Source organism: Homo sapiens, chromosome 18 (assembly GCF_000001405.40).
Source record: "Homo sapiens chromosome 18, GRCh38.p14 Primary Assembly".
Lineage (NCBI taxonomy): Eukaryota > Metazoa > Chordata > Mammalia > Primates > Hominidae > Homo > Homo sapiens.
The window spans coordinates 62053137-62081117 of NC_000018.10; the positions used below are offsets into that span (position 1 = coordinate 62053137).

The 27981-nt window shown below is 37.7% G+C and overlaps 1 protein-coding gene across 47 annotated transcripts in view; it reads right to left on the reverse strand.

Annotated features, from left to right (window-relative positions):
- Window positions 1-27981, reverse strand: part of PIGN (phosphatidylinositol glycan anchor biosynthesis class N) — a 169442-nt gene that overhangs the window by 35522 nt on the left and 105939 nt on the right. For 26 of the 47 annotated variants that reach the window (XM_047437461.1, XM_047437431.1, XM_047437439.1 and 23 more), the window contains 2 exons: window positions 21643-21685; window positions 19537-19589 (listed from right to left, as the gene is read on the reverse strand). In XM_047437461.1, coding sequence (XP_047293417.1) covers window positions 19537-19589; window positions 21643-21685 — 96 coding nt within the window. Of the gene's footprint in view, window positions 1-17253; window positions 17371-19536; window positions 19590-21642; window positions 21686-27981 lie in introns of all 47 variants that reach the window. The other 21 variants (XM_011525894.2, XM_011525891.2, XM_047437452.1 and 18 more) reach the window with 2 other exon arrangements.

The window sequence follows — 27981 nt, forward strand, 5'->3', positions numbered from 1 at the left end:
AGAGGAAATATTTAAGACAATTTTATTGTAAGCAAGGGAAGGCAATGGGATGTAGAAGGAGGTAAGGTTTCCATATATTACTTAAACTGGTAAAATGACATCACCAGTAGACTGGGATTAGCTATGTATATATAATACCTACAGCAACCATTTAAAAAGCCATACAAAGAGATACATTAATAACACCACAGAAAAGTAAAAAAATAATTCTATAAAATGTTCAAGTAATACACTGGATGTCAGGAAACACAAAACACTGAGAACAAACAGAAAACAAAAAAATAAAATGGCAGACTTAAGCCCTAACATATCAATAACTGCATTAAATGTGAATAGTCTAAATACACCAACTGAAAAACAGAGATTGGTAGAAGAGAATAAAAAACATGACCGTGACCAAACCACATGCTGTCTAAAAGACACTCACTTCAATTATGGAGGAAACATCATGCAAACATTTATTTTAAAAAAGCTGGAGTGGCTATATTAATATCAGATAAAATAGACTTCAGAGCAAACAGACTTCAGAGCAAAGATACCCTTTTCTCAAAAATTGATAGAACAACAACACTGAAAATCAGCAAGAATACAGAACTCAACACTATCAAACAACAAGATTTAATTCACAATGATAAAACACTCTACCCAACAACAGCAGAATACATGCTCTTTTCAAGTGCTCATATATACCAAGATAGATCATATTCTGGGCCATAAAACAAACCTCAGCAAGTTTAAAAGAACTGAAATCACACAGAGTGCCTTCTCTGACCACAGTGGAATCCAACTAGAAATCAACAATGGATAACAGATACATTACCAAACACTTGGAAACTAAACAACACAACTGTAAATAATCCATGGGTCAAAGATGAAGTTTCAAGAGAAATAAAAAAAACAGATTGAATGTAATGAAAATAAAAAACCAACACATCACAGTTTATGGGACACAGCTAAAGCAAGCGCAGACGGGGAAGCAGACCCATGCAAATCTGCACCCCATCCCCCTGAAAGAGTGTAAACCATATACCTGATATCACCACACCCTATCAGTGTGAGTCTCACACTATATACAAAAATTAACTAAAATGGATCATGGACTTAAAAGTAAAATGTAAAAACATAAACATTTTAGAAAAAAAATCTTTGGGATCTGGAGCTAGCCAAAGAGTTCCTAGTCTTAATACAAAAAGCACAATCTAAAAAAGTAAATCTGATAAATTGGGCTTAAAAAAAAAAACAAAAAACTTTTGCTCTGTGAAGGGCCCTGTTAAGAGGGTAAAAAGACAAGCTACAGACTGGGATAAAACACTTGCAAGCCACACATTCAACAAAATACTTTTTTTTTTCCTATTTTTTTTTTTTTTTTTTTTTAGGCAGGGTCTTGCTCTGTCACCCAGGCTGGAGTGCAGTGGTATGATCATAGTTCACTGCAGCTTTGACCTCCCTGGGCTCAGGTGATCCTCCACCTCAGCCTCCTGAGTAGCTGAGACCACAGGCATGCACCACCACAGCCAGCTAATTTTTGTATTTTCTGTAGAGATGGGGTCTTGCCATGTTACCCAGGCTGGTCTTGAACTCTTGGGCTTAAGCAATCTGCCCGCTTTGGCCCTCCCACAGTGTTGGGATTACAGGCATGAGCCACTGCACTCAGCTACAAAGGACTATTTCCTAGAATAAAATATAGAATAAATTCTCAAAACTCAACAGTAAAAAAAGCTCCACAAACAATTCAATTAGAAAATGATCAAAAGACATGAACAGACGTTTCATCAAAGAGGATATAAAGTCAGTAAATAAATAGATGAAAAAGTGTTCAACATCATTAACTATTATGCAAGTTGAAGCCAAAATGAGATATCACTACACACCCACTTGAATAGCTAAAATAAAAAATATTGACAGCACCAAATGCTGGCAAGGATGCAGAGAAACTGGATTGACAGTCTCTGGTACAACCACTCTGGTGGCAGTTTCTTTTAAAACTCAGCATGCAAATAATATAAGACTCAGCAAATATGATTCTGAGCATGCATGCCAGAGGGAAAAAACTGTTCACAAGAATGTTTATAGGATCTTTATTCATAATAGCCAAAACCTTGAAATAACCTTGATGTCTTTCAACAGGTGAATGATTAAACAAACTGTGGCACATCCATACCATGGATTTACTCAGCAATAAGAAGTAACGAACTACTGAAATACGCAACAATGAATCACCAGAGAATTACTCTGACAGTGAAAAAAATGCTAACTCCAAAAAGTTACATACTATATGATTTACTTTGTATCATATTTATGAAGTAACAACTACAGAAATGGAAAACATTAAATGTTGCCAGGGGTTAAGGAGGGTTTCTGGGTGGGAGGGAAGTGCCTGGGCTATAAAGGGCAACATGAAGGATCCTTGTGCTGGTAGAAATGTTCTGTCTTTTGACAGTTTCAATGTCAACATCCTGGTTTTACTATATGTTATACTATAGTTCTGCATAAAGTTACCACTGGGGGGAAATAAGGTAGAGGGTATAGGAGATCTCTCTGTATTATTTCTTACAACCTCATGTGAATCTATAATAATGTTAAAATGAAATGTTTAATTAAAAATTTTTTTTAGTTCACAGGCTGTACAAAATCAAGAGGTGGGCTGCATTTGGCTAAAGGGCATAGGTTGCTGGCCTCTACCCTGGCCTGTGAGCTCTGTGGAAGCAGGGACTATAATTTTTATCTCTTTTCCCATTGCATCTCTAACGTCTCATGCAAGGTCTTATAGGCACTTAATCAATATTTGTTAAATGAATTATTAAAGATAATTTATAATTAGAAGAAATGATAAAATCTTCTTTTGTTTTATGTTACCCCGGCAAATTTAATCTGAACTTATTTAAGTTGGTGCAAAAGTAATTGTGGTTTTTGCCACTAAAAAAAAAAAAAAAGGCAAAAACCGCAATTACTTTTGCACCAACCTAATAAGATCAGACTCTCCCAAAATAGAATAAGCATAATCAATACCGAAAGCTAAAAAGCAAAACCAAAATGCCAAAGGAAACGAAAAGTTTCTACAAAACTAAAGTAAAACTCACCCTGCAAAATATTAAAATATAAAGTTAAATGTAATACGGGCATTAGAATCAACAGGACAACGGAAGAGAACAGATCATCCTGTCACCCAAGATCAAGGAATCATCATCAGTAACTCACAACTGTTCTGGCTGGACTCACTTTAAACTTATAAGCACAAATGAGATTTGGTTCTCATCAGTGTCTCAATCCTGATTGCACACTTCTGAGTTATTCTTCTCTGAGTCAAACCAATTTGTGTCCTTTCTCCTCTCCTCAAAGTCCTGTCACCTTCCTCCCATCTCAGCAGATGACTCTGCTTTTTTTTAAACCGAGAAAATACTGATAAAGTGATCGCAAGAGAAGTGCCTCTTCTCACCCCGAACTTTCTAACCCACTCATATCTGTGCCCACACTGCCTCAGGTACCTTTCTTGTCTAAAACAAACCCCTCCACTTCTAGTTTGGATTTCATCCCAACTCTCCCACTAAAGCTGGGGTCTCCAACCCTCAAGCCTTGGACCCGTACCAGTTCATGGCCTGTTAGGAACTGGGCCACACAGCAGGAGGTGAGCGGCGGGGAAGTGAGCGAAGCTTCATCTGTATTTGCAGCTGCTCTGCATCGCTGGCATTACTGCCTGAGCTCCACCTCCTGTCAAATGAGTGGCGGCATTAGATTCTCACAGGAGCACGAACTCTATTGTGAACTGCGCATGCAAGGGATCTAGGTTGTGCACCCATTATGAAAATATAACGAATGCCTGATGATCTGAGGTAGAATGGTTTCATCCTGAAACCATCCCCTGCTGGCCCCTGCACCCTTCACCCCATCCGTGGAAAAACTGTCTTCCACGAAACTGGTCCCTGGTGCCAAAATGACTGGGGACCACTGTACTAAAGGACTTTATTTTTCCAATTATCCCTTTCCCTCTTAGATATCACCCATTTTTCCTTCTCTAGGTGAGCATATCCTTTACCACACAAATGTGTAATTTGTCTCATTCTAACTCTCCCAAGATCCCATAGCTCCCTCCAGCACCATCCTAATTTAAATTTTATATATGCAAAACCCAGATCTTAATCTCCCACACCTTCCTTCACCAAACTCACTCCTCCTAGAGCTTTCTCCAGATTTCTGCAATGGCTTTCCTAGTCACTCAGTTACTCAAGATTAAAAAACAAAACTAGGAGTTGCCCTTGATTCTTTTTTTCTCCCAGTATATTAGTCTATCAACAAATCCTATCAACCTCTCTGAAAATATTTTCTAAGTCCAGCCACTTGTTGCTATTTTGAATTGCTACCCTAGCCTAAACTGCCATCATCTCTAGCTTACGATACCACGAAAGCCTCTTCCTCAATCTTCCTTCTCCCTCTCTCGATCCCTCCAATAGGTTCTTTACATTGTGGCCAGTGTTATGTCAAAAATGTGAAGCAAATAAAATAACTTTCTGCTCAACAAACTAATGCTTCAACTTACACTTGGAATAAACTCCCAATTCTTTACAATGACTTTCAAAGGCCATAAGTGATAGCAAATATCTACTCTATGAATTCTCTCCTGACCATGTTTTCCCTCATACCATTCTAGCTACACTAACTGTACAGAGCACCCTTGACACAAGTAACTCCATCTCAGAAAAAGACTCCATCTTACATTTCACAGGACACTTTGCCAACAGGGAAAAGATACTTTGCTTAATAAATTAATAAATAAAGACTGCATCCAACCAGATAAGGACATAAACAGGCACACTCTTCCACTATCAGTCCTCACTGGAGGACTCTGCAGCCATAAAAAGAGCAGGACTTCACAGCTCAAAATGGCTGTCTTAACTGACACTGTCTTGCTATCACTCCTGATAAGCACCCAGCACCTGCCACTGAAGGTGGGTGGCCTTCAAAGACTCTTTCTTGTAAAGACTCTTTCTTGTAAAACAGATGGGCCCTGGCCCAGACCAGGAGGTTCTTTCTGTCTTCCTCACTCTCCCTGGACTATTTCCTTAACCCTTTTTCCTATCTCTCTTCTCTTGATGTTAAATGTTACTTTGTTTGTTGTGGAATGTTTAATCTGTAACATTTATATATTAATTAGGTATAATATTACATATAGTTGACAATATTGACTGACTTGTGGAGTGGCTTGTGGCTGTGCAGCTGTGACTACCAAGTGACCGGAAAGTTCTAAGGAGGACTGCCTCCTAGAAAACTCCATGCAGTTCATGGCCTTTTGCTATTGAAATAGCATCAACAGAAGTCTGACACTATGGAAAGACGCAAACGTGAATGAATCTGGTTATCTCTGACCTTGCACTGCTCATGAGACTAACTTTCATATTTTCAAAAGTATTTACTCACATGGGGAAATGGTTATTATAGAAAACCATCTTTTAAAGAAACTGTATATGTCTGCACATAAATTAAAGCTAAAAGGACATACATCAACATGTTGAATAGTGGTTCTCCCTGAATACTGCAAACTGAGACACTGAATTATGAATGACTTATCTTTTCTTAATGCTTTCAGTATTTTCTTTAGTATATTTGTAATATATTGCTATTTATGTGATGTTTACAAATTATGCTAGGTTTAGCCACAGAACTCTAAGGCTGACTCATAATTACCAGAGAAATCTTCAACTCTATTCTGTTTCTGAGGCCTCAGAAGACACTCCAAAATTGGTACCAGCTCCTGAGATTAAAATCCTCAATCCAGGCCAGGTGTAGTGGCTCATGCTTCTAACCCCATGACTTTGGGAGGCCAAGGCAGGAGGATCTCTTGAGCTTAGGAATTTGAGACCAGCCTGGGCAGCAGAGTGAGACCCTGTCTCTAAAAAATAAAAATTAAAATAATTACCCGGGTGTCACGGCACACAGCTGTGGTCCTCACTACTCAGGAAACTGAGTTGGGAAGATCACTTCAGCCTACAAGGTGGAAGCTGCAGTGGTGATCACCTCACTGTACCCTGAGACCCTGTCTCAAAAAAAAAAAAAAAAAAAAAAAAAAACACTGGATATAATCATCCCAACTTCTTCAGGGACCAAAGTTTGTAGTCAGAGATGAGATGAGTGAAGGAGTACAAACTCTTCAGCATAGAGCCTGGAGGTCAAATCCAGAAAAGCTCAATCTGACCTTGGTTCCAGGGGGGAAACCAGGCAAGGAGGTGGGGAGCTAGGTAGATTAAAAGCAACAAGGACCATAAAAGATTAATCTTTTATAAGCATTATAGAAAGGATAAACAGAATGTGGTATATCCAAACAATGGAACATTATTCAGCAATGAATAAAGTACTTTTACATGCTGCAATATAGATGAATGCCAAAAAAAAGTTACACTAACTGGAAGAAGTTAGATGAAAAAAACTACATATTGTATTTTTCTGTTTATATGAAATGTCCACAATAGGCAAATCTGTAGAGACAGAAAGCAGATTTGTTGTTGCCTGGGCTTGGGATGGTAATGGGAACAGATTGTGAACAGGTAGAGGGTATTTTCTGTGTGATGGAAATGTTCAAAAAATAGATTGTGATGGTTGCACAACTCCATACATTTGCCAAAAATCATCAAAATGACTTAAAACATTTATTAAATCATTAAAAAATGAAAATAGATAAATTTTATGGTATGAATTATACTCAATAAAGCTGTTAAGAATAAAAACAAAGAAAGAAAAGATTACATGCTAGCAGATTTTTCTTGCTGAATTTTGCCATCACTTACAGGTTAAAATATTAAATCTGATTTGATGTCTAAACAAAAACGGTTTGTAAAACCAGTAGGTGACCCATCCTCAAATTTAATCTAAAGTCTGTCTATAAAAGGCATTCCACAGATCACTCATTTCCTTACAGTGGCCTGAAATTACTGACTCTTGGCTCATGTAAGCTAACATAATTGGCAGGAAACAGTTGTGAAGCTCATCATCTTCATGCAATTGAGCCATAAGGCATCCAGCTTGTGTTATCTTGCATCAATCAAGTCTTGGTGTCATCTCGCCATAGCAGAGTTAAAGGAACATCAAATTTCAACTTGAAATGAGTTCAGCTGTTCGCACTCCCCTCCCATGACTATTGTGCCATCATTTAAATCAGCAGTTCTCAAGGTGTGCATGTGTGATGGTCGAGGGGAAGAGCGTATGTGTGGAGGCACATGGAATTGCCAGGCAGGCCTTTTCAACCTGCACAATGGTGACAAAATGTTGATCATATTTCTCCTCTATAAGGGTGATGGGCGATAGAAGCAGGTCATACCTGTTCAATGTACTGGGGCAGAAAAAGTCTGAGAATCATTGGTTTTAATAAAGTTTGGTATTCACTGTAACAGTACAGATGTTTTATGACACTTATTAATTACATTTAGGATATACAAACACTATTGAATAGAATCATGAGTTCTCTCTTTTTTTTGAGTTCTCATTATATCAAAAGAGAAATGATAAACACGTTAGTTGTCATTTGTATTTCAATAAGGTATAACAATCGTGCATGTGAGAAACAATTAAAGTCCAAATGAAGACTGCCATCAAATCAAACTCAGCTCAATCAAACTGATGATCCTGACTCTATTCACCTCACTACAAATGCATTGAGGACGCAAATCTGAATATACGTTTTTATAGTTATGAAAATTACCTCAAAGGAATTTTTTTCTCTAGTTTTAAAAATGTACTTTCAGTATGCCGTATAAAAGGCAATACTCTATAAAGTTTATGACCTGCTATAAATGAAGATAAAGTGTAAAGATCAAAAGAAGAAAATACTAAATTAGCTCTGTCAGCTGAACAGTTTTATGGCCTGGGCAGGATATTTTTCACATGGCTGTTAAAAAGCATACCCGATGCCACAGGTTCTCAAGAGAAACACTGAACTCACACCAGTAGTTTCAGCTGAATACACTGACTGTAGTGTATGCTTCCTGAGTCTCAATTTCAGTTTGGTAAAATCTGCTCTGAAGATGCATTTGAAACACAGAGTACTATGCCTATAAACAGATATACTATCTAATGCCCTAATAATACAATCTTTATTATTTAAGAAACTATACTTATTAACCTGCAACTATTAATAACAGGTGACAAATCTCTCAAAAGTGTTCTGAAAATCCATGGCAATCACCACAACACTATAAACATTACAGATACATGCCAGACTACATTCACGGGGCAGTCAGCTCCCACTCCTCTCTCAAATTCTGGGACAGATTCCCGCCATTTCAGGAATAAATGCAAAAAAAAAAAGCAATAAAGGAGCTTGCAGTGAGCCGAGATTGTGCCACTGCAGTCCGCATTCCGGCCTGGGCGACAGAGCGAGACTCCGTCTCAAAAAAAAAAAAAAAAAAAAAAAAAAATGCAATAAAATAGTGAGGACAAAAGGGCAACATTCCATTCCCGTGAATAAAAAGCATGGAATGGCTGAAATCGCTAATTATACTATTAACACAAAGGAGTTTAGGAATAAAATTCGTCATGAAGGGGAACCAGTGCAGGAGCACAATTCCAATAACCCCGGCACCTGTGAAGGGAGCTCTGCCGGTCAGTTTATAATATCAGCGACATGACAAGAAACACCACAGCTTTTCAAATGTACCTTCACACAAGAATAATTGGAAACTCAAAACTTAAATGCAACATTCTCACAAACAGAAAGCAGAAAAAGTACAATAATGAAGTTTTGACATGTGAACCCTATCGTATGGTGCTTTAGTTTTGAATCTTGACGTACATTTCCCCCTACTTCCCCACCATTATCCAAGCCTTTTCCTCGCAATAAACTAGATGTTTATGAAGATGCATGAACCACTCCTGCCCATTAGACCAGCACCACATGGTTCACAGAGGCACTATATGACATCACCGCTATAGAGGATACAAAGGAAAGACCTTAGAATTCTAACTTAGCAATAAGAAAAACATCACATTGCAGCATCAATCAGGGGCAATTCCATTTAGAAAGCCTAACTTCACCAACTCAGATTTCATTTTGGCCTCTCCATCCTGACCCTGCTCCCCCCACCTGCAATCAACTTCCTCTCTTAAAGTGGGCACCTTTTAGATGACATAATAAGAGACAAAGAAGACAGAGCAAGGAGATATTTCATCAGGAATGACTAAGAGAATATGTGGGAAATTTATGTAGATTTGTTCAGTGCCATCAGCCTGATGAAGACAGATCTAAGGTTTCTTATACCTGCCTTTGAGAAGTTTCTCAGAGCAAGCATCCCGTTTAACCTATGGGGGTTAGATCCCCAATGATGAAATACTGAGAATGAGATAAACTAAGGTTTAACATAACTTATTAACTGGCTGTGCCTTTGTCTTCTTCTTATCCACTTTGGATTTTTAATGTTGTATAGATGGGGGTGTAATGATTATAGCAGGCCACCAGGCATAAATCAGGAAGTCTCCGGGAAATCAGGGCATAGGATCACTGTATATTCAGGGCAGCTCCCATTATAAAAAATATTATCACGAAATATTCCTATAGCATATTTTACCCTGAATTGCATTAATAATATAATATTTTAATATGTATACATAAATCATTGAAACATAAAGTTAACACCCTTTTCTCATGGCTAGTACCGGGTGGTGGTGGTTATAAATGCATTCTCTGCCTATAAGTGCTGATATGTCATTCTGTTTCCCTTGGTTTGAATGATGCTCATTATTTGTTTTATGCTTTTGTATTCTGCTTTTTTTTTTTTTTTTTTTTTTTTTTTTTTGCTGTTGTCGTTGCTGTTTTGTGCTGTTTATTCCATGAGGGCTGTGTAAAGGAATGTTAAGGATAAGGCTGGAGGTACCACACAAATATCAAGAGGAACATCATGATAGACGTTAAATGCAAGCTTGCACTAGCTCTTTTAAAATGTACTGAGCATCAACACTCATGAGAGGAAGGGAAAACAAAAATAACAAAAATGTGTCAAGCAAACACAGGTAATAAATGTAAAATAAAATGGACCATATCAAAATAAAAAACTTAAGCCTCCCAAAGGCTATTTTCTAGAAATTTCTTTATCCAAAATCTATGGTTTTATAGATTTTATCCAAAATCTATGGTTTTATAGATTTTAGCCAAAATCTATGGTTTTATAGATTTTAGCCAAAATCTATGGTTTTATAGATTTTAGCCAAAATCTATGGTTTTATAGATTTTAGCCAAAATCTATGGTTTTATAGATTTTAGCCAAAATCTATGGTTTTATAGATTTTAGCCAAAATCTATGGTTTTATAGATTTTAGCCAAAATCTATGGTTTTATAGATTTTATCCAAAATCTATGGTTTTATAGATTTTAGCCAAAATCTATGGTTTCTGAAATCCAAATTATTTATCACATATCATGCACATATGCATTGGGCTTTTTACCTCTATGGCTTTACTCATGTCCATCTGTCTGTCTAAAATAGTCTTCCCAAACCTGTAAGTCCCCTAATTGAAATTACAAAAGGTGCCAAAAGGTATAATTTCAATTAGGGGACTTACAGGTCTGGGAAGACTACTTTAGACAGACATATGAAAATGTGGCACATATACACCATGGAATACTATGCAGCCATACAAAAGGATGAGTTCGTGTACTTTGCAGGGACATGGATGAAGCTGGAAACCATCATTCTGAGCAAACTATTGTGAGGACAGAAAACCAAACACCGCATGTTCTCACTCATAGGTGGGAATTGAACAATGAGAACACTTGGACACAGGGTAGGAAACATCACACACTGAGGCCTGTCATGGGGTGGGGGGAGGGGGAAGGGATAGCATTAGGAGATATACCTAATGTAAATGATGAGCTAATGGGTGCAGCACACCAACATGGCACATGTATACATATGTAACAAATCTGCACGTTGTGCACATGTACCCTAGAACTTAAAGCATAATAAAACAAACAAAAAAAGAAATTACACCTTTTGTTCAAGGCCCAGTTCAAATGCCAGACTTGGCATAATGTTTCCTGTCACTGAAGGCTTAAGTGAAGCAGCCTCCCTCCTGTATTTTTATAACCCTTAACCACATGTTGCCTTATACTATAATCATTATCATTATGTCTTTAAACCTATATTAGGCCATAACCTCCCTGAAAGCAGTGGCCATGTGTTAAGAGTCATACACTTCCAGGACTGGAATGTCCCATACCAGTTATACATCCTTATGCTTAAGTTCCTGATGAAGTAGCTATCTGTCTCCAGAGATGGAGCATCACCAAGTCTTAAGGCTGGCAGTCCATTCATCTCTGGGTACTTGACAATGTCTGGGAATGCTTTATGTATGGTGAGTGTTCAATATGTATTTTTTTCTGAAAAACGATCAATTTATTAAACACATACACAATGCAAAAAATAAACCTAGCTATGCCACATTATTGTGCAATCAGTCTTTCAGAACCAGTTTCTACTCTGTAAAACAGAAATTGTTAATATTTTCTTCACATCATTTCATGAGACTCAATGAGATAACATAAGTACAATTCCTAATACACTGCATACAATAAATGATATTCTACTCTAGTAATATCATTATCATCAGTTTAATACCTTTCTCAATAATCCTTAACTTTTCCCAATCACTGTTTAACTTAACCTGCTTTTCCCAGGTTTGGGTAGAAGTTTTTCTGTGGCAAAACAATACAATCCCCCAATTAGTTTCTGGTGATCCCAGAGGGAGAGGAGAGAAGAGAAACATGGTTGTATTAAATTACTTAAAACAGCTGAACTTGACACTTCTAAAAAAAAAAACTTCCCAGAATTTTCAAGAGAAAAATGGTGAGTCTTTAAACAAGCAACATTAAAGATTGCAGAAGGGATAAAGGAAAGCCTCCTGGACAAGGACAAACACGGGACTTCCGGAATAGACCAAAGGCTGATACTGATGCAGGAAGGGGGACAATAAAAGGCTAAAAGGCGTTTTCTTTTTCTTTCTCTCTCTCTCTCCCTCCCTTTGTCCTCCTTTATTCCTTCTTTCCTTTGCATGCCTTCCTTCCTTCCTTTCTCTTTCTCTTTCCTATCTCCCCTCCTTTCCTTTTTTTAAAAACTTTTTTATAAAACAGTGCATTATTACAGAGGTAGAGAAAGGAAAGAGAAGTTGTTCTGGGAATACTCTGCCAATCAAGTTTTAGATGAAAGACTGAAGGTGACAGAAACAAAACAGGGAAAAGAGTGCTCAACAGAATGGAACCCATGATGAACTAACAAGAGAATGGATTATTCAGTTGAGAAAAACTGAATAAGGGGCAGGATGAATATAATTAAAAAGACAGGCTTGGCGGGGCGTGGTGGCTCACGCCTGTAATCCCAGCACTTTGGGAGGCCGAGGCGGGCGGATCACGAGGTCAGAATATCGAGACCATCCTGGCTAAGATGGTGAAACCCCGTCTCTACTAAAAATACAAAAAAATTAGCCGGGCGAGGTGGTGGGCGCCTGTAGTCCCAGCTACTCGGGAGGCTGAGGCAGGAGAATGGTGTGAACCCGGGAGACAGAGCTTGTGAGCCGAGATCGCGCCACTGCACTCCAGCCTGGGTGACAGAGCGAGACTCCGTCTCCAAAAAAAAATAAAAATAAAAAAAAGACAGGCTTATGTTGTTGCTCAGTAAGTGGTTGTTGAATGAAAGCATGAAAGACTAAGTATGTTAGTAAGTAGGAAAAAGATAATGAATTCAGGATTCCAAGGCTGAAATCTCCTCTATTTCAGTCCCAGGCATCAAGGTAAGCAAAGGGGATGCTGCAGCCAAGGAAAATTTCTGTTCAGGGGCCTGCTTCTGGGTATCTCGTTTCATCACTACTTCCCTGATTTTGCCCCATTCTCTGTAGCCCTAGCAAAAGCCCTTTTGGGTCTTACTCAAAGCTTTAGTTTTGGCAGCCTAATACTCCCACAGGCTTTCTTTAACCATAGCTTTTAACTTGCTAACAATAGTCTTCATGTCACAAGGCTTTCCTTTTAATTACCAATGTGACATTTACTACTTGTTTCTGTCTTCTGACATAAATAACAAATCACTTTTTCAACTGTGCAGTTTGGCAGCATGCACAAAACAGGCAGTGACTGAGCAGCCTACACACCCCATGGCAGCTTCCCCATTCACAAGTGCATCCTTTAAGATCAGCTCAACCACTGATCGACTCTGTGACATGAGCAAGTCCCAATCTCCTTAGGGCCACAGTGTCCTCATCTGTAAAATGGAGATGGTAAAATTATCTACTGTGAACGATAGTATCTACTTTACAGTGTTACGAGGAAAATCACATGAAATAATGTAGAAGATAATGTAAATAGAGTAGCACAGTAGAAGTGTTGGTTATTTTTGGTAGATGTGTGACCAGGGGCAATCCTTTGACTGACATCCTGGGCCTCCTACTCAAGTTTGAGCTTCTATCTTACTTTGCCTTTTATCTAATAGAGAGGACTCTGTGGTCTCTGAACAGCCTTTATCACGTCTTTCAGGACTCCGATCTCAGATAAACAACTGTTGGGTATGTGGACTCTGTGTAGCAATGCACAGCCTTGCTGTGACCTTGTGGGAGGCTCTCTGCCTCTACTCTGCTCTGGGAATGAGTTAACTCCATTTGGGCCCCACATAATGCCTTCAAAATCCTTCTTTGACAGAGAGTAATTAAACTGATTTAACTAGGGACATTCACTCCTTCTAATTATAATATTCCTCATGCTCATTAGTAAAATAAATGAAAATATAATCTCCCTCAAAGGGAGGTGTGAGAGTATTCCCATGCAAATACTACTTTGTTTCTCCTCCCCTTTCTAATTAAACTTGAAAGAGTGGTCTGTACTTAGAACTCTACTTCCTGACCTCCAATTCTACTTATGCATTTTTCTCTTTAGCTTTTATCAGTCATACATGCAAGTACTAGAAAAGCAAAATAATGGAGAAAGATTTATAATGAAAAGCAACAATCTTTCATTCCTTCTTATTCACTTTTTACAGCAACCACTCTAACTACTTTTCTTTTTAGATCTTCTGGTGGTTACCCCCCTAATATGACTTATTACCTTTATGTTGTTGTTTATGCATGCACCCATTTGAAACAAAGTCCCTCCTACTAACCAGAATTTAATCTATGCATACTAGGCTCCACTCATTTCAACTTTTAGTTTTTCTATTTTTCCTTATGAATCAACTTTGAGGTATAATTTACATGTGAGAAAATGGAACCATTTTAAATGTCCAGTTAGCCGATTATTGACAAATGCTACATCCATGTAACTAAAAACAACTTCAATATATAGAACATTTCTGTCACCCTAAAAGTTCCTACAGGCCCTTTTGTGGTCAATCATACCCCAACTGCCAGCCCCAAACAATCAGTGGTCAACTTTCTGTGACTATAGTTTTGCCTGCTCTAGAATTTTATATAAATGGAGTACACTATATACTCTTACATATCTGGTTTCTTTAACTCTATAAAGTATCTGATAGTCATCCATGTAGTTGAGTTCATCACTTACTCATTTCTTTTTATAGGTAAGTAATATCCCATTGTATGGCAATAGCACAATTTGTTTACCCATTCATGTGCTGATGAACATTTGGGTTGTTTCAAGATTTTGGTTCTTATGAATACAGCTGCTATGAAAATTCCTGTACAAGTCTTTCAGCATACGTATGTTTTGCCTTCTCTTGGGTACCTAGGCATGGAATTGCTGGGTCAGAGGTAGTGTGTATTTCACTTTTTAAGAAAGTTTCTTTTCCCTCTAGGTCTCACTCACGAATAGGAAGGCCACCAGTAAGTTCTATGCATGTAATAAGAATTGCTGTGTCGTGTTTTAGGATGAGCGGGAGGGATGCCTGTCTCTGTCCTTTGTTAGGAGGAGGCTACACATGCTAGAATGGAGAACAGCCTTACTAAAGTGGAGGCACATATATCATAGCAATGAAATTCCTCCCAGGTCTTTGTTTGTTTGTTTGTTTTTTTGTCTCTTTAGAGGTGTCTTCTGGTTTTCTACTTGGAATAAAATGCCTGTAGCACTTTCTCCATGGGGATGAAGGAAGGAGACGGGCTATGGAGAGCCTGTTGATATCATCATTTGGTAGGCAGATATCCAATTAATCTCCTGCTTCCCTTCCTCACTCCTCCTTCCACATTACTGTCTCACTGAGTCTGAGGTCCCTGGACCTCCTTTCCCTTTGCCATACCTGTCTGTAGTTTCTCAGCTGCTGTTTCCTCCCTCTGGTTATCTATCTTCTAGAAATTTGTTGAACTCAAATTTGCTGATAGTCCTTCTCCCACTCTTTTCATTTTGCTAAGTTTGTTTATTTTTATTGGGGTCTTGGTAGAAAAAAGAAAAATGTTTATCTTTGGTCTGCAGTCCTCACCTGGAAATTGGTGGATCTGATTCAGCACAGCAATCTAGCACCAGATCCTACCCCTGAAACTTCTCCAGCCAAGCTCAACAACGTCCTCTGCCACTTAAACCAAGGCACACCTTTATGTTTTCACTTACACTCTGTCATATCTGAGACTGCATGACCTCTCTCCTGCCTGAAATGCTCGCTTGATTTTCACAATACTGCTCTCTCTAGATTTTCTCCTGCCTTCTGGCCACTTCTTTCAGCCTTGTTTCCACACTTCTTGTTCTCTGCTCTTCACCTTCTCTCACTCTACACATTCTCCCTAGTTCTTGTGACCCAATGTACTCTTGTAAGCCCCACACTTGCAGTGTTCAGACAGCTCCTGTTCTGAAAAGCCTTCCTTAAGCTACAAGACTCAGAGAGACACCCTAAGTGTCCCCACAGTACAAGAGAGACTACTCTAAAATTTCTCACACTGCACCATATGGCCTGCTCACGGATCTGCTTCCTCCTCCAGCCTTATGCTTCCTGAAAGCCCAGAACTGTGAGTTTCTCATCCCCAGCAACTCTCCTAGCATACAGCTGGTGCTCAATAAATATTTGCTGGATTGAATTGAGATCATGGATATGAAAAAGTGCTTTATGTTTTATACATGTTATTACTGGTAATAAGAGTAAACAATTTTTACTTTGAAGAAAAAACACGCCAGGTAAAGATAAACCTCAAGCTAATTAAAGAAAATCTAAAATTCTTAGTGCAATACAAATGAATGCCTGTTCATAAACTAATGATGCACATCTTCCTATGAAAACTGCATCTTCTTCATTCCTTGGCACCTGTTTAGAGTCAAACCAATTTAATTTCTCTCATCAAAACAGTCTCACTCCCAAGTTCACAGCAGCATTATTTACAATAAACAAAGGTGGAAACAACTCTAGTATCCATTGACAGATGAACAGGTGAACAATATGGCATATGCATATATACGTACAATGAACTATCATTCAGCCTTTAAAAGGAACAAAATTCTGACACATGCTACAATATACATGAACCTTGACGATATTACACCAAGTGAAATAAGTCAGTTGCAAGAAAGACAAATACTGTATGATTTCATTTATATGAGATACCCAGAGTCATCAAATTCATAGAAACAAAGGTAGAATGGTGGTTGCCAGGGGCTGATGAGCGGGAGAATGGGGTGTGACTGATTAATGCATTCAGAGTTTGTTTCTCAAGATGGAAAGAGTTCTGGAGACAGATGGTGTGTGGTAATAGTTGCACAACCATGTGAATGTATACTTAATACCATTGAACTGTACACTTAAAAATTGTTATGATGACAAATTTCATTATGTGTAGTTTACCACAATTAAAAATAAAAGAAAAAGTCTCATAAACAAAATACTGTATTTTACCAGAATATTTTTGAAACAAAATTCTGACCAATGTCTAAAATGAAAATAATCAAATGGTAAAGAAAGGTATGCCAAATGCAAGAAGCACTATAAAGGACAAAAAAACAGAATTACAGAATGACAACAGTAACAATTGCTGACATTCACTGAAGCTTATTAGATGCCAGGCACTATGCTAAATACTTAAATGCTTTATATAAATTAATTCATTCAAAATGACTACAAGAGAAACGGGGGGCTTAGAGAGATTAAGTCACTTAGCAAAGGTTTCACAGCTCAAAAGTGGCAGAAATGAGATTCAAACCCAGGCGCTCTGGTTTAAAGCCCATGCTCTGGCCACTATCCGCCTGGACACTTTAGAATGAGAGGGCTGGGAAGCAGAAGGGGATATCTAAACTTTCCCTAAACTTTCAAGTATAAGAGACAAATGAAAACCAAATCAATTTTCTATGGAGTACCTTTTACGTACCAAGCACGTATGGCATGTAAGAGATTCAAATCCAATCCTGGATCTGAGAGCATCCACAGTCTATTGGGAGAGGCAGATATGTACATAAATAACCAGGCAGTACATGCCAGGAGTTGCCTAAGAGGTATCAACAGAGGGAAGAGGATGTTTAACACATGGTGTCTCCTGCAAACCCATACAATTCCTGGCAACACAAAGTGATGAATGAATATTGACTAAATGAAATAAAATCAGTATACAAAAATGTATTCTGTCTCAGAATGCATTTGGAGAAGAAAAGGCAAAAGGGTCAATTTTGCTTTCTTCTTCTCAAAGAAAAGAAATTTAACAGGTTATGGCAATCATTGAAATTTAAATCACAATAAAAAGGAACCTGACTTTTTGTTCAGATTATACTTTATTTTTAATTAACTAATTAATTAATTTTTTTTTGATATGGGATATCACTCTGTGGCCCAGGCTGGAGTGCAGTGGCCCAGTCATGGCTCACTAAACTCTTTTGACCTCCCAGGCTCAAGCACTTTTTCTGCCTTAGCCTCCTGAGTAGCTGAGACTACAGGCATGGGCCACTGCACTCGGGTAATTTTTTTTTTGCTTTTTGTAGAAACAGGGTCTCACTATGTTTCCCAGGCTGGTCTCAAACTCCTGGGCTCAAGCAGTCCTCCCACCTCGGCCTCCCAAAGTGCTAGGATTACAGGCGTGGGCCACTGTTCCTGACCTCAAATTACACTTTAAATAGTTATCACATGTTAAAAGGTTACCATATTAAAGATTCTAAGAGGCAGATAATGATCACATGAAATTTAAACCACCATATAAAATTCATACTGCAACCGGAACAACCTCATTTTTCTAAACAGAGATGAGAGATTAAGAAAACACACTAGGACTCTGGAATGATCAACTTTGAAACCGCGGATTCAAGCAGTTTATCTTGCATCTTCTGCTGCCCTTTAGTTCTCTCTAGACTTAACATCTATCATCCTCCCCACAGCATTCCATGTAAACATTTGCTAATGTGCTAATGCCAAGAATTGGAAAGATGTCTCATTTCCAGGGGCTTAAAATAATTGCTAATTGCTGCGCTTACCTCAAAATCATATGGGCACCTTCTATACTAAGATACTAAGTTTTAATTTTTTTTTACTGCACTATTAAGAACTTCTGCGTGAGTGTAGTCATGCACCACATAATGATGTTTTAGTCAACAATGGACTGCATATACATGGTGGTCCCATAAGATGATAACAGACCTAGTGATAGCGCAGTGTCTTTGCAGCACAAAGCATTACTCTCGCTTGTTTGTGGTGATGCTGGTGTGAACAAACCTACTGCACTGCCAGTCCTATAAAAGTCTGGCACACACAATTATGTACAGTACATAATATCTGATAATGACAATAAACAACTGTTACCAGTATCTACATTTACTATACCATATTTTTCATCGTTTTTTAGACTGTACTCCTTTTCCATATATATATATATATATATATATATATATATATATATATATATATAAATTTAACTGTAAAATATCCTCAGGCAGGTCCTTCAGGAGGTATTCTAGAAAGCACTGTTGTCATAGATGACAGCTCCATGCATGTTATTGCCTGTGAACACCTTCCAGTGGGACAAGATGTGGAAATAAAAATCCTGACCCTCTGTAGGCCTAGGTGAATGTGTGTGTGTGTGTATCTTAGTTTTTATCAAAAAAGTTTAAAAAGTAAAAAAAAGTGATTTTAAAATATTAAATTAAAATATTAATTTTAAAATAGAAAAGAGCTTAGAGAATAGGGATATAAAGAAAGAAAAGGTTTTTGTATAGCTATATAATGTGTTTGTGTGTTTAAGCTAAGTGTTATTATAAAGTCAAAAAGTTAAGAACCTTATAAAGTAAAAAAGGTTACTGTAATAACTCACTGACTCACCCAGAACAACTTCCAGTCCTGCAAGCTCCATTCATGGTAAGTGTCCTAGATAGGTATACCAGTTAAAAAATCTTTTACACTGAATTTTTTACTATACCTTTTCTATGTGTAGATACATAAATACTTACCATTGGGTTACAATTGCCTACAGTATTCAGTATGATAACATGCTGTACAGGTTTATAGTCTAGGAGCAATAGGCTGTACCATATCCTAGGTGTGTTGTAGGCTACACCATCTAGGTTTGTGTGAATATACTCTGTGATGTTTGCACAGTGAAGAAATTGCCTAACAATATATTTCTCAGAACTTATCCCTGTTGTTAAGCAATGCATGACCATATATACTATACCTTGTCCCAATATCAAGCCAGCTGCCATAATCCTTGACCAAGAAGAAAAAATGCTGTAAAAAAAAAAAAAGGCTTAATGAAAAACAAAGCTATTTAGATTCAGTCTAAAAACAAAGCTATTTTAGGACTGTATGTTTCAGATTTCTGACTCTAAGAATCACTATCTGACTGTAATCAACAAGAATATGTCATTTACTGAAACTTTTGCTTGGATTAGAATTAGCAGTAGTCTAAAATCCAGAAATAGAATTATCAATCAAATGAACACAAAAGTGACATTTCTGAATAATTAGAAATAAAGAAGAACAAGCCAACATCAATAAAAAAAACTAGATAATACTAAAGATGTCAGTGGAAAGAAGCCACGTCATCCATCTACCAACAAATATTTACTGTACTGACTACCTACTGTGTGCCGATCACTGTCTTAGGTGCTGGAGATAAACTCCTCCTCACAAGGCATAGGCTGTAGTAAATAATTCCATCAAATTATCAGGGGTGTGTGTGTGTGTGTGTGTGTGTGTGTGTGTGTAAGGGGGGGATGGAGGGAGTGTTATCATTGGAAAATATAGGCAATTATAGAAACAGAGGAAGGGGTTCATACCCTGATTAGAATGGAAGGGAAGGCTTCCCATTGCAAGGTGAAATCTAAGTAAAAAGTAGGAGTCAGATGAAAGGAGGTTTGGATAGAAAGAAGTTTCTGGCAGAGGGAATAGCCTATATATACATCAAGAGTCCAGAGAGAGCTTGGTAGTGTCAAAGGGAGGATGGTGTAGAGAAAACAAGGATGGAGAGGTAAGAGAAGATGTCAATCAAATGAGCAGAAGTTATATCACAAATGGCTGTTCAAGTCAATTTATGCAATCTTTTTTATACAAAATTAATCAGAATTTCAATCCTCTTCTATTAATATGTCTGTTTGTCACTTTGCACAAAACTGAAAGCTGATTTGCTCTCACATTATGTGTGGTCAGTTTCAGAAATACAATGAATAATGGTTCACCACCACACAAAAGTACTCTCATCTAAACCGAGTGACTAGGAATCTGATTTGGGAAGCTACCCTTATTAGTATTCCTAGTTACTTCTGGCATGGGATGTTATATGGTGACAAATTAACCTTACCCAAAAAGACCGCTGGTGTTCATTCTCAGCTACTGGGAGGCAATTTCTGGGCCCTTGGAATGTCATGGAATGTCATGCCTCATAGAAGGTTCTGCCTGAGGGCTTGGCCACTGGACAGTCTAATAATGTGATATATGATGAGGGCTTTGGGCCATATTACCAGCTGTATCCCCAGAAGGGATTAAAGGTCAGCCAGGTAGGCAGTATGTGATCAAGCCCCACTAAAAAGTCTGGACAACAAAGCTTAGGTAAGCCTGGTTGGCAATACTCCATGTGTACTGTCACACATCAATAGTGGGAGGGTAATGCTGTCCTGATTCCACAGGGAGAAACAGAAGCTTGGCATTTGGTGTCCTGGACTCTGCCCTATGCACTGGAATAAACTGTAACTGAATATAACAGCATTCAGTGATTTCAGTGAATTCTAGTGAATTACTAAAGCTGAGGGTGGTCTTGGGAACTCCCCAAAGTTGTAGACATAAAATAGGTTCCTCTTTTTGTTAATGAGAGAGGCCTACCTACATACATCAGAACTCATTTATTGCAGCTACGTCTTGATTAACATCTTCCCAACAGAAAAGCTGTATTTCCTGTTTCCTTCCTTCCTTCCCTCCCTCTTTTCCTTTCATTTTTAATCTGAGAGAAGGGTTAAAAATCAACATTTCAGTAGAAAAATGATGTATTATCTAAATTTAAAGTTAGCTTTTTCTGCTAATTTTCTTTGGAAGGTTCATTTCAGATACAAAGCAACATGGAAGACGAGGTATGACAAATTCAAGTAGTAAGACTTTTGACACCTGAAGAAGAGCACACATCCTGCATAACTAATATAAAAGAACATAATTTATTGTGTAAATTATGCCAGCACTTACAACTCAACATCTAAAGATTTCACGTACCAAAATGCATTCATATTTCTCTTTATTAAATTAACCCAGGACTCTTAATCTAATTTATATGGACTACCCAGTAATGCCTTACCAAAGCCATAATGTCTGATATGACGAGAACAATGAGAAAAAGGCTGGAAAAAAAAAGAAGGAAAAATTACATCTAATACAACAGGTGCATTTTTCAAGCTCATTAAAATCCAAGTGAGACTAGGCAAATAACCTAGTATTGTTGGTATTTTTGCTTCTGAAAATACAACTTTCAAAGGTTCTTTTCATATTATCATGGGTGACCATACCATAGAGATGAGCTGGACTGTAAAATGTGTTATTAAGTGCTCTGAATATTTATTTCAGTAAAATGAAAGGGACATACATTATGATTTTCAAAACTAAACTTTTGAGGTAATTGTTAACTAATATGCAATTTCAAGAAATAATACAGAGGGATCCTCTGTACCCTTTACCCAGTTTCCCCCAGTGGGAAGATCTTGTAAAACCATAGTATAATATCCCAAGCAGGACAATGACACTGATACTGTCAAGGTAAAGAGTGTTCCCATCAGCACAAAGATCTCTCATGATGCCATTTTATAGCCACATCTGTCCTCCCCTCACCATCCCTCTGCCTAATCCCTCACCCCTGAGAGCCACTAATCTGTCCCCCATTTCTATAATTTTGTCATTTTAAGAGTGTTTTATGAGTAGAATCACATACATAACAAGTTGAACAATTTATATAACACTTTGTTACCTTTTGTAACCTTCTGGGATTGGCTTTTCTCACTTAGCATAATTTTCTCAAGAATCATCCAAGGTGCTGTATCAATGGGTCATTTACTTTTATGGCTGAATAGTACTCCATCATATGGATATACAATGGTTTACTTAACCATTCAAGCACCAAAGGACATCAAGGGTTGTTTCTACTTGTGGCTATTGTTCCAGTTTGTGGCTCTTACAAATAAAGCTTTTATAAACATTTGTGTCTAATTTTTTGTGTAAACCTTTCATTTCTCTAGGAAAATACATCAAGAGTGCAATTGCTAGGTCATACAACAGTAGCATGTTTAGTTTCATAAGAAACTGTAAAACTCTTTTCAGAGTGGTTGTACCATGTTACATTTCCACTAGCAATGCATGAGAGCAATTTCCTTACATCCTCAACAGCATTTGGTGATGCCACTATTTGTTTTTAACTATTCTGATAAACTGTTCTGGTAAGTGTGTAATGATATTTCATTGTTGATTTTTTTTTTCTTTTTTGAGATGGAGTCTCGCTCCGTCGCCCAGGCTGGAGTGCAGTGGTACAATCTTGGCTCACTGCAACCTCCGCCTCCTGGGTTCAAGCGATTCTCCTGCCTCAGTCTCCCAAGTAGCTGGGACTACAGGCACCCGCCACAACGCCCGGATAATTTTTGTATTTTTAGTAGAGACGGGGTTACACCATGTTGGTCAGGCTAGTCTTGTACTCCTGACCTCGTATCCGCCCGCCTCGGCCTCCCAAAGTGCTGGGATTACAGGCATGAGCCACCACGCCCAACCCATTGTGGTTTTACATGCATTCCTTTAATGGCTAATAATGCTGAACAACTTTTCATTGTCTTATTTGCCATCTGTATATCTTCTTCAGGTGTTTTGCTCACTTTCTAATTAAATTATTTTTTTACTGTTGAGTTTTGTGCATTCTTTTTATATTCTAGATACTAGTCTTTTGTCAGATAACCTGGTTTGTAAATATTTTCTCCCAGTATGTAACCTATGTTCTCTTCCTCTTACTAGAGTCTTTCACAGAGCAAAAACTTTTAATTCTGAAGAAGTCCAGTTTATCAATTTTTCCTTTAATGGGTTACAATTTTGATGTCAAGCCTAACTCTTCGCCTAACCCAAATCCCAAGGATTTGCTCTATTTTTTTCCTAGAAGTTTAAATCTGTGGTCCATTTTGAGTTAATTTTTGAATAAAGTGTGAGGTTTTGGTAGAGGTTTGTGACTTCTTTTTAATAAATAATTGTTTTTCTAACCATAGGTTTGAAATAAAGACATGTAACTCAATAATTCACATATGCAGATATATACCACAAGTCAGACTGATCATATCTTACTGAAGTATAATTCCATTCAGACACATAATAAAGTGTGTTAATCTGATTAAGAGTTTGTAGAGAATGCAATGGTCATCCAGTACAACCTTCTACCTAAAGCATGAATTCCCAAAGTATCAATCCCAATAAAGGCATTGTCTAGCACTAGTTTTAGTGGTTGCAGCAACAGAATCCACTCCATTTTCAGCAGCTCCAATTACTGCAGAGTTCTTTCTTCTGTGAATCAAAGCACAACAAATATTCTACCCTATGGACCCAGTTCTTCTGGAATAGAAAAATAATAAATACAATTCAAAAGAGCTTTAGAATGAGTGCGGTGGCTCACACCTGTAATCCCAGCACTTTAGGAGGCCGAGGTGGGTGAATTGCTTGAGGCCAGGAGTTCAAGACCAGCCTGGCCAACATGGCGAAAACCCGGCTCTACTAAAAATAGAAAAATTAGGCAGGTGTGGTGGCACATGCCTGTAAGCCCAGCTACTCGGGAGGCTGAGGCACGAGAATCGATTGAATGTGGGAGGTGGAGGTTGCAATGAGATCACACCACTGCACTCCAGCCTGGGTGACAGAGTGAGACTCTGCCTCAAAACAAACAAACAAACAAACAAACAAAACCTTTAAAAAACCTTTACATACCTTTTTTAAAAAGTTTTGATTTTTTAGAAATATTTTTATTTTTCTAAAGATAATTATATTACTGTGTGACACAGATGATATTCTGGGATCCTTCTGAAGTTAAGACACATCTGATTAAGTTATTTATTGTCTTAGCCTCAGTTTCCTTATCTATAAAATGGTTGTAATAATATCTATATTTCCTAGTATCATTGGAAAAATTAAGTCAGGTAATATGTGGAAAGTACCTAATACAGTGCCTGACATATGGTATCTGCCTAGTAAATATCGGTTTCATTCTCACTCCTTAAACAAAAGCTTTAAATGAAATTAAAGATATAATCTCTCCCCTTATGGAGTTCACAAGGTGTGTATTAGCTAGGGTTGCCATAACAAAGTCCCACAGATTGAGTGGCTTAAACAATATAAATTTCCTCATAGTTCTGGAGGCTGGAAGTCCAAGATCGTGTGTGAGCAGCATCGGTCTTATTTGAGGTCTCTTTCCTTAGCTTGTAAATGGCCATATTCTCCCTTAGGTTCACATGTTATCTCTTCTGTGTTTGACTGTGTCTTAATCTTTTCCTCTTATAAGGACATCAGTCATATTGGACTAGGGCCCACCCATATCACCTCATTTTAGTTACCTATTGAAAGGCCCTGTCTCCAAATTTAGTCATATTCTGAGGTACTTGGGGGTCAGGACTTCAACATAAGAATTTTAGGGGACACAAATCAGCCCCTAACTGGGTGTGAAACAGAAAAGTAAGAAACAATTTTATCAGCCACAGTCTGAGTTACCTAACTTAGCCAGAAATTTGAGGGTGGAAGGATTCTGGAGAGTGGAGCAGTTGGGTAAAAAAGGTTTAACAGAGAATACGATCCCTGAACTAAGTCTTAATTAAAAGGAAGGAAAATGATTTTCCAGAGCAAATCTTCATATTCTTGAACCATTCTGTGGAAACTGAAGAACCCAGAAGTAAGCCTGCTCAAGGTCACACAGCTAGTAACAGTAAGTCATAGACTTCTAACAGCAAGTCTGGCCCCACAGCCTGTGCTCCTAACCATTACGCACACTGCCTCCCTATGGCTCTACTGACTCTCAGAGGCCTTCAGCATCTTCACCACGTTCCTTTGAATGTGTCCCTGGTTCCCTCGTTTATTCATATGTTGCTCAAATGCGAAGGCATAAATGTAATACACTATTCAATATTCATGGTGATCTAATTTTAAGAAGGATAGGGTTATCATTCCCTTGCTCTAAATACAATAATTTTATTGAAGTCAGGTTAGTTATATGGTATTATTTGATCTCCAAGATGTTTTGAAGCTACTGTGTACCTAGATCCTATGAGTTTCCTCGTAAATACCTTTTTATTCAAGAGATAAATACCTGCTATTGAGCTTTTATCCAATTGATAATAAATATTACTTATCATCCCCACTGAGCCACTGTGATTGTTCACTTGCAAGACCCTTAATTGATCTCCCTGCTCTTATTCTTGTCTTCCTAAAGTTATTATCCATGCAACAGACAGAACAGCCTTCAAAACCTACCAAAGGCTTCTTGCCACAACTGAATAATGGTGAAGTCCTATCTGTGGCCCCTTCTTTTCTGCCCCTGCCAACCTGTTCAACTTTATTTCCTACAATTCTTCTGCTAGCACACTCTGCTTAAGGCTACCTTTCTTGCTGTTCTCCAAATACACCAAGCATGTTTTCAACTCATGCCCTTTGTATGTTTCACTCCCTCCACCTGAGTGAACCATAAAACTATGTGAGTAAAGACCATATTAAGGTTTTTGCATAAATTGCTTCTCCTTAGAGAAGTCTCCCTGAATCACTTCATTTTTTCCCCTGACATTTAACACTACTTGAAATTTTGTTATTACAAGCATTTTATTTTCTTTGTCTCCCCAGGTAGACAGTAAGCTCTGATCACAAAATGTATCACCAGTGGCTAGTACAGTGCCCGGTATATGATACAAACTCAAACCCTATGTACTGAATGAATAGTAGGAGAAATTAGCATAAAATAAAACTGAAAATGGCTAATGCCACACATTGTGAAATATGCTTTAGATTTAAGACTGACTTAAGAGCCTTTTCCTTTTGATTTCATAGAATACAAAAAATCTGACCCAGGAAAAATTAGACCTGGTAGAAACAACACCAAATAACATTGTAGAAGGCTAAAACCACAGAATAAAATCTGTAACTAACAAAATAATGATGGAAGAAGCAAATCTTGACAATAACCAGATCTGTAATATCTGATCTAGGTGAATGAGACCTGGTAGATATGATAACTGTAGAAGAAAAAAAAAAAAACTCTGGCAGGAGCTGAAATCCATAGACTTTAAGATAAAAACAAATAACACAAAAAGTTTCTGAAAATTAATAAAAATAATTTTAATAAATTAAAAATCAAAATAGAAATACTTAGAAGTAATTTACTTCTACTTCATATAAAATTAATTTAAAAATTAAGCTGATTTAATAGAGTACCCACATAAAAACACTTTCCCAATAAAAGTTATTCAATATTATAATAATTCTGATTCAAATTTGGATTCCTAAATATGTGAGCAAAACATTCTGGAGATAAAAATATCCATCAGAACAAAATGGTATATTCAAAATTAGAGTCAAAATATTTTCACTTCAATTAATAGAGGGCATGAGAAAACTAGCTTTTTGGCTGCTAGATCACATTGTTGACAACTGCTATTTCCAAGTTTTTGTGTTTTTTTTCCCCCAATCCCTGCCGTGTAGCCATGGCTCTTGTACAGTTGAGTATTTAATCAAACACAGAACTGAAAAATCATCCCTTTCAGATCTTATATGGTTGGTTGTTGAATACTTCTGTAATACTAAAACTTGTTTCTCTTTCTCAGCGGCCTTCTAATCTTCTCTCATGCTTTGCTGCATTCTGAAGGTGACAAAGGTCTTCATGGTCCATGTCATCTCAAACTGTGAAATGAACTGGCCACAATTGTGACACTTTTGGCAGGTTGTTTCACACCCCCACACCTTCCTTTTCCCTAACAACCTTCCAGTTTAAAATGAATGTGTGCCAGACAGAGTTCTGGCCATAGAGACATAGTCAGAAATCTGCTACATGGGGCCTTTGGGAAAGACACTGCTACCCTGACAGAAAAGGAGAATCGGCTGACATATCTCCTTGCCTTTTTCCTCATTAGTCCTTTTCCCTTGTTCCTGTCTGGATGGCAGATGAGATACGATGGCAGATGGAGGCATGATGAGAAAAACACGAGGGTAAAAGCAACAATCTAAGAATCTACCATTCTTAGGAATGCAGAAAAGCAGGGTTGCTGATGGCATCACAGAGTTATGGGCTGCCAACCTCCAGACTCCATGTGACGTGAGGACATAAATCTCTATTTCTCTGAGCTACTGTTAGTTAGATTTTCATTGCTTACATCCATAAGCATTCTTAACAGATAAACTATCAGGTAATCTTCATGCACAGCTACTACCTTTTTGTGGTCTCTACCCAAAATTTACAAGGTTTTGCTGATGAACCCAATTATTAACACTGAGACACTAGATAAATTATTAATAATTAGAAAAGTAAATTTTAAGTTATGAAAAAAAACAATGTTAATACAACTTTTCTACTTCACTTTTGTTCAATACACATTTTAAGGAGTGAGTCGGAAGAGAAGCAGAATCATTTCACTGGTTTGTTATACTG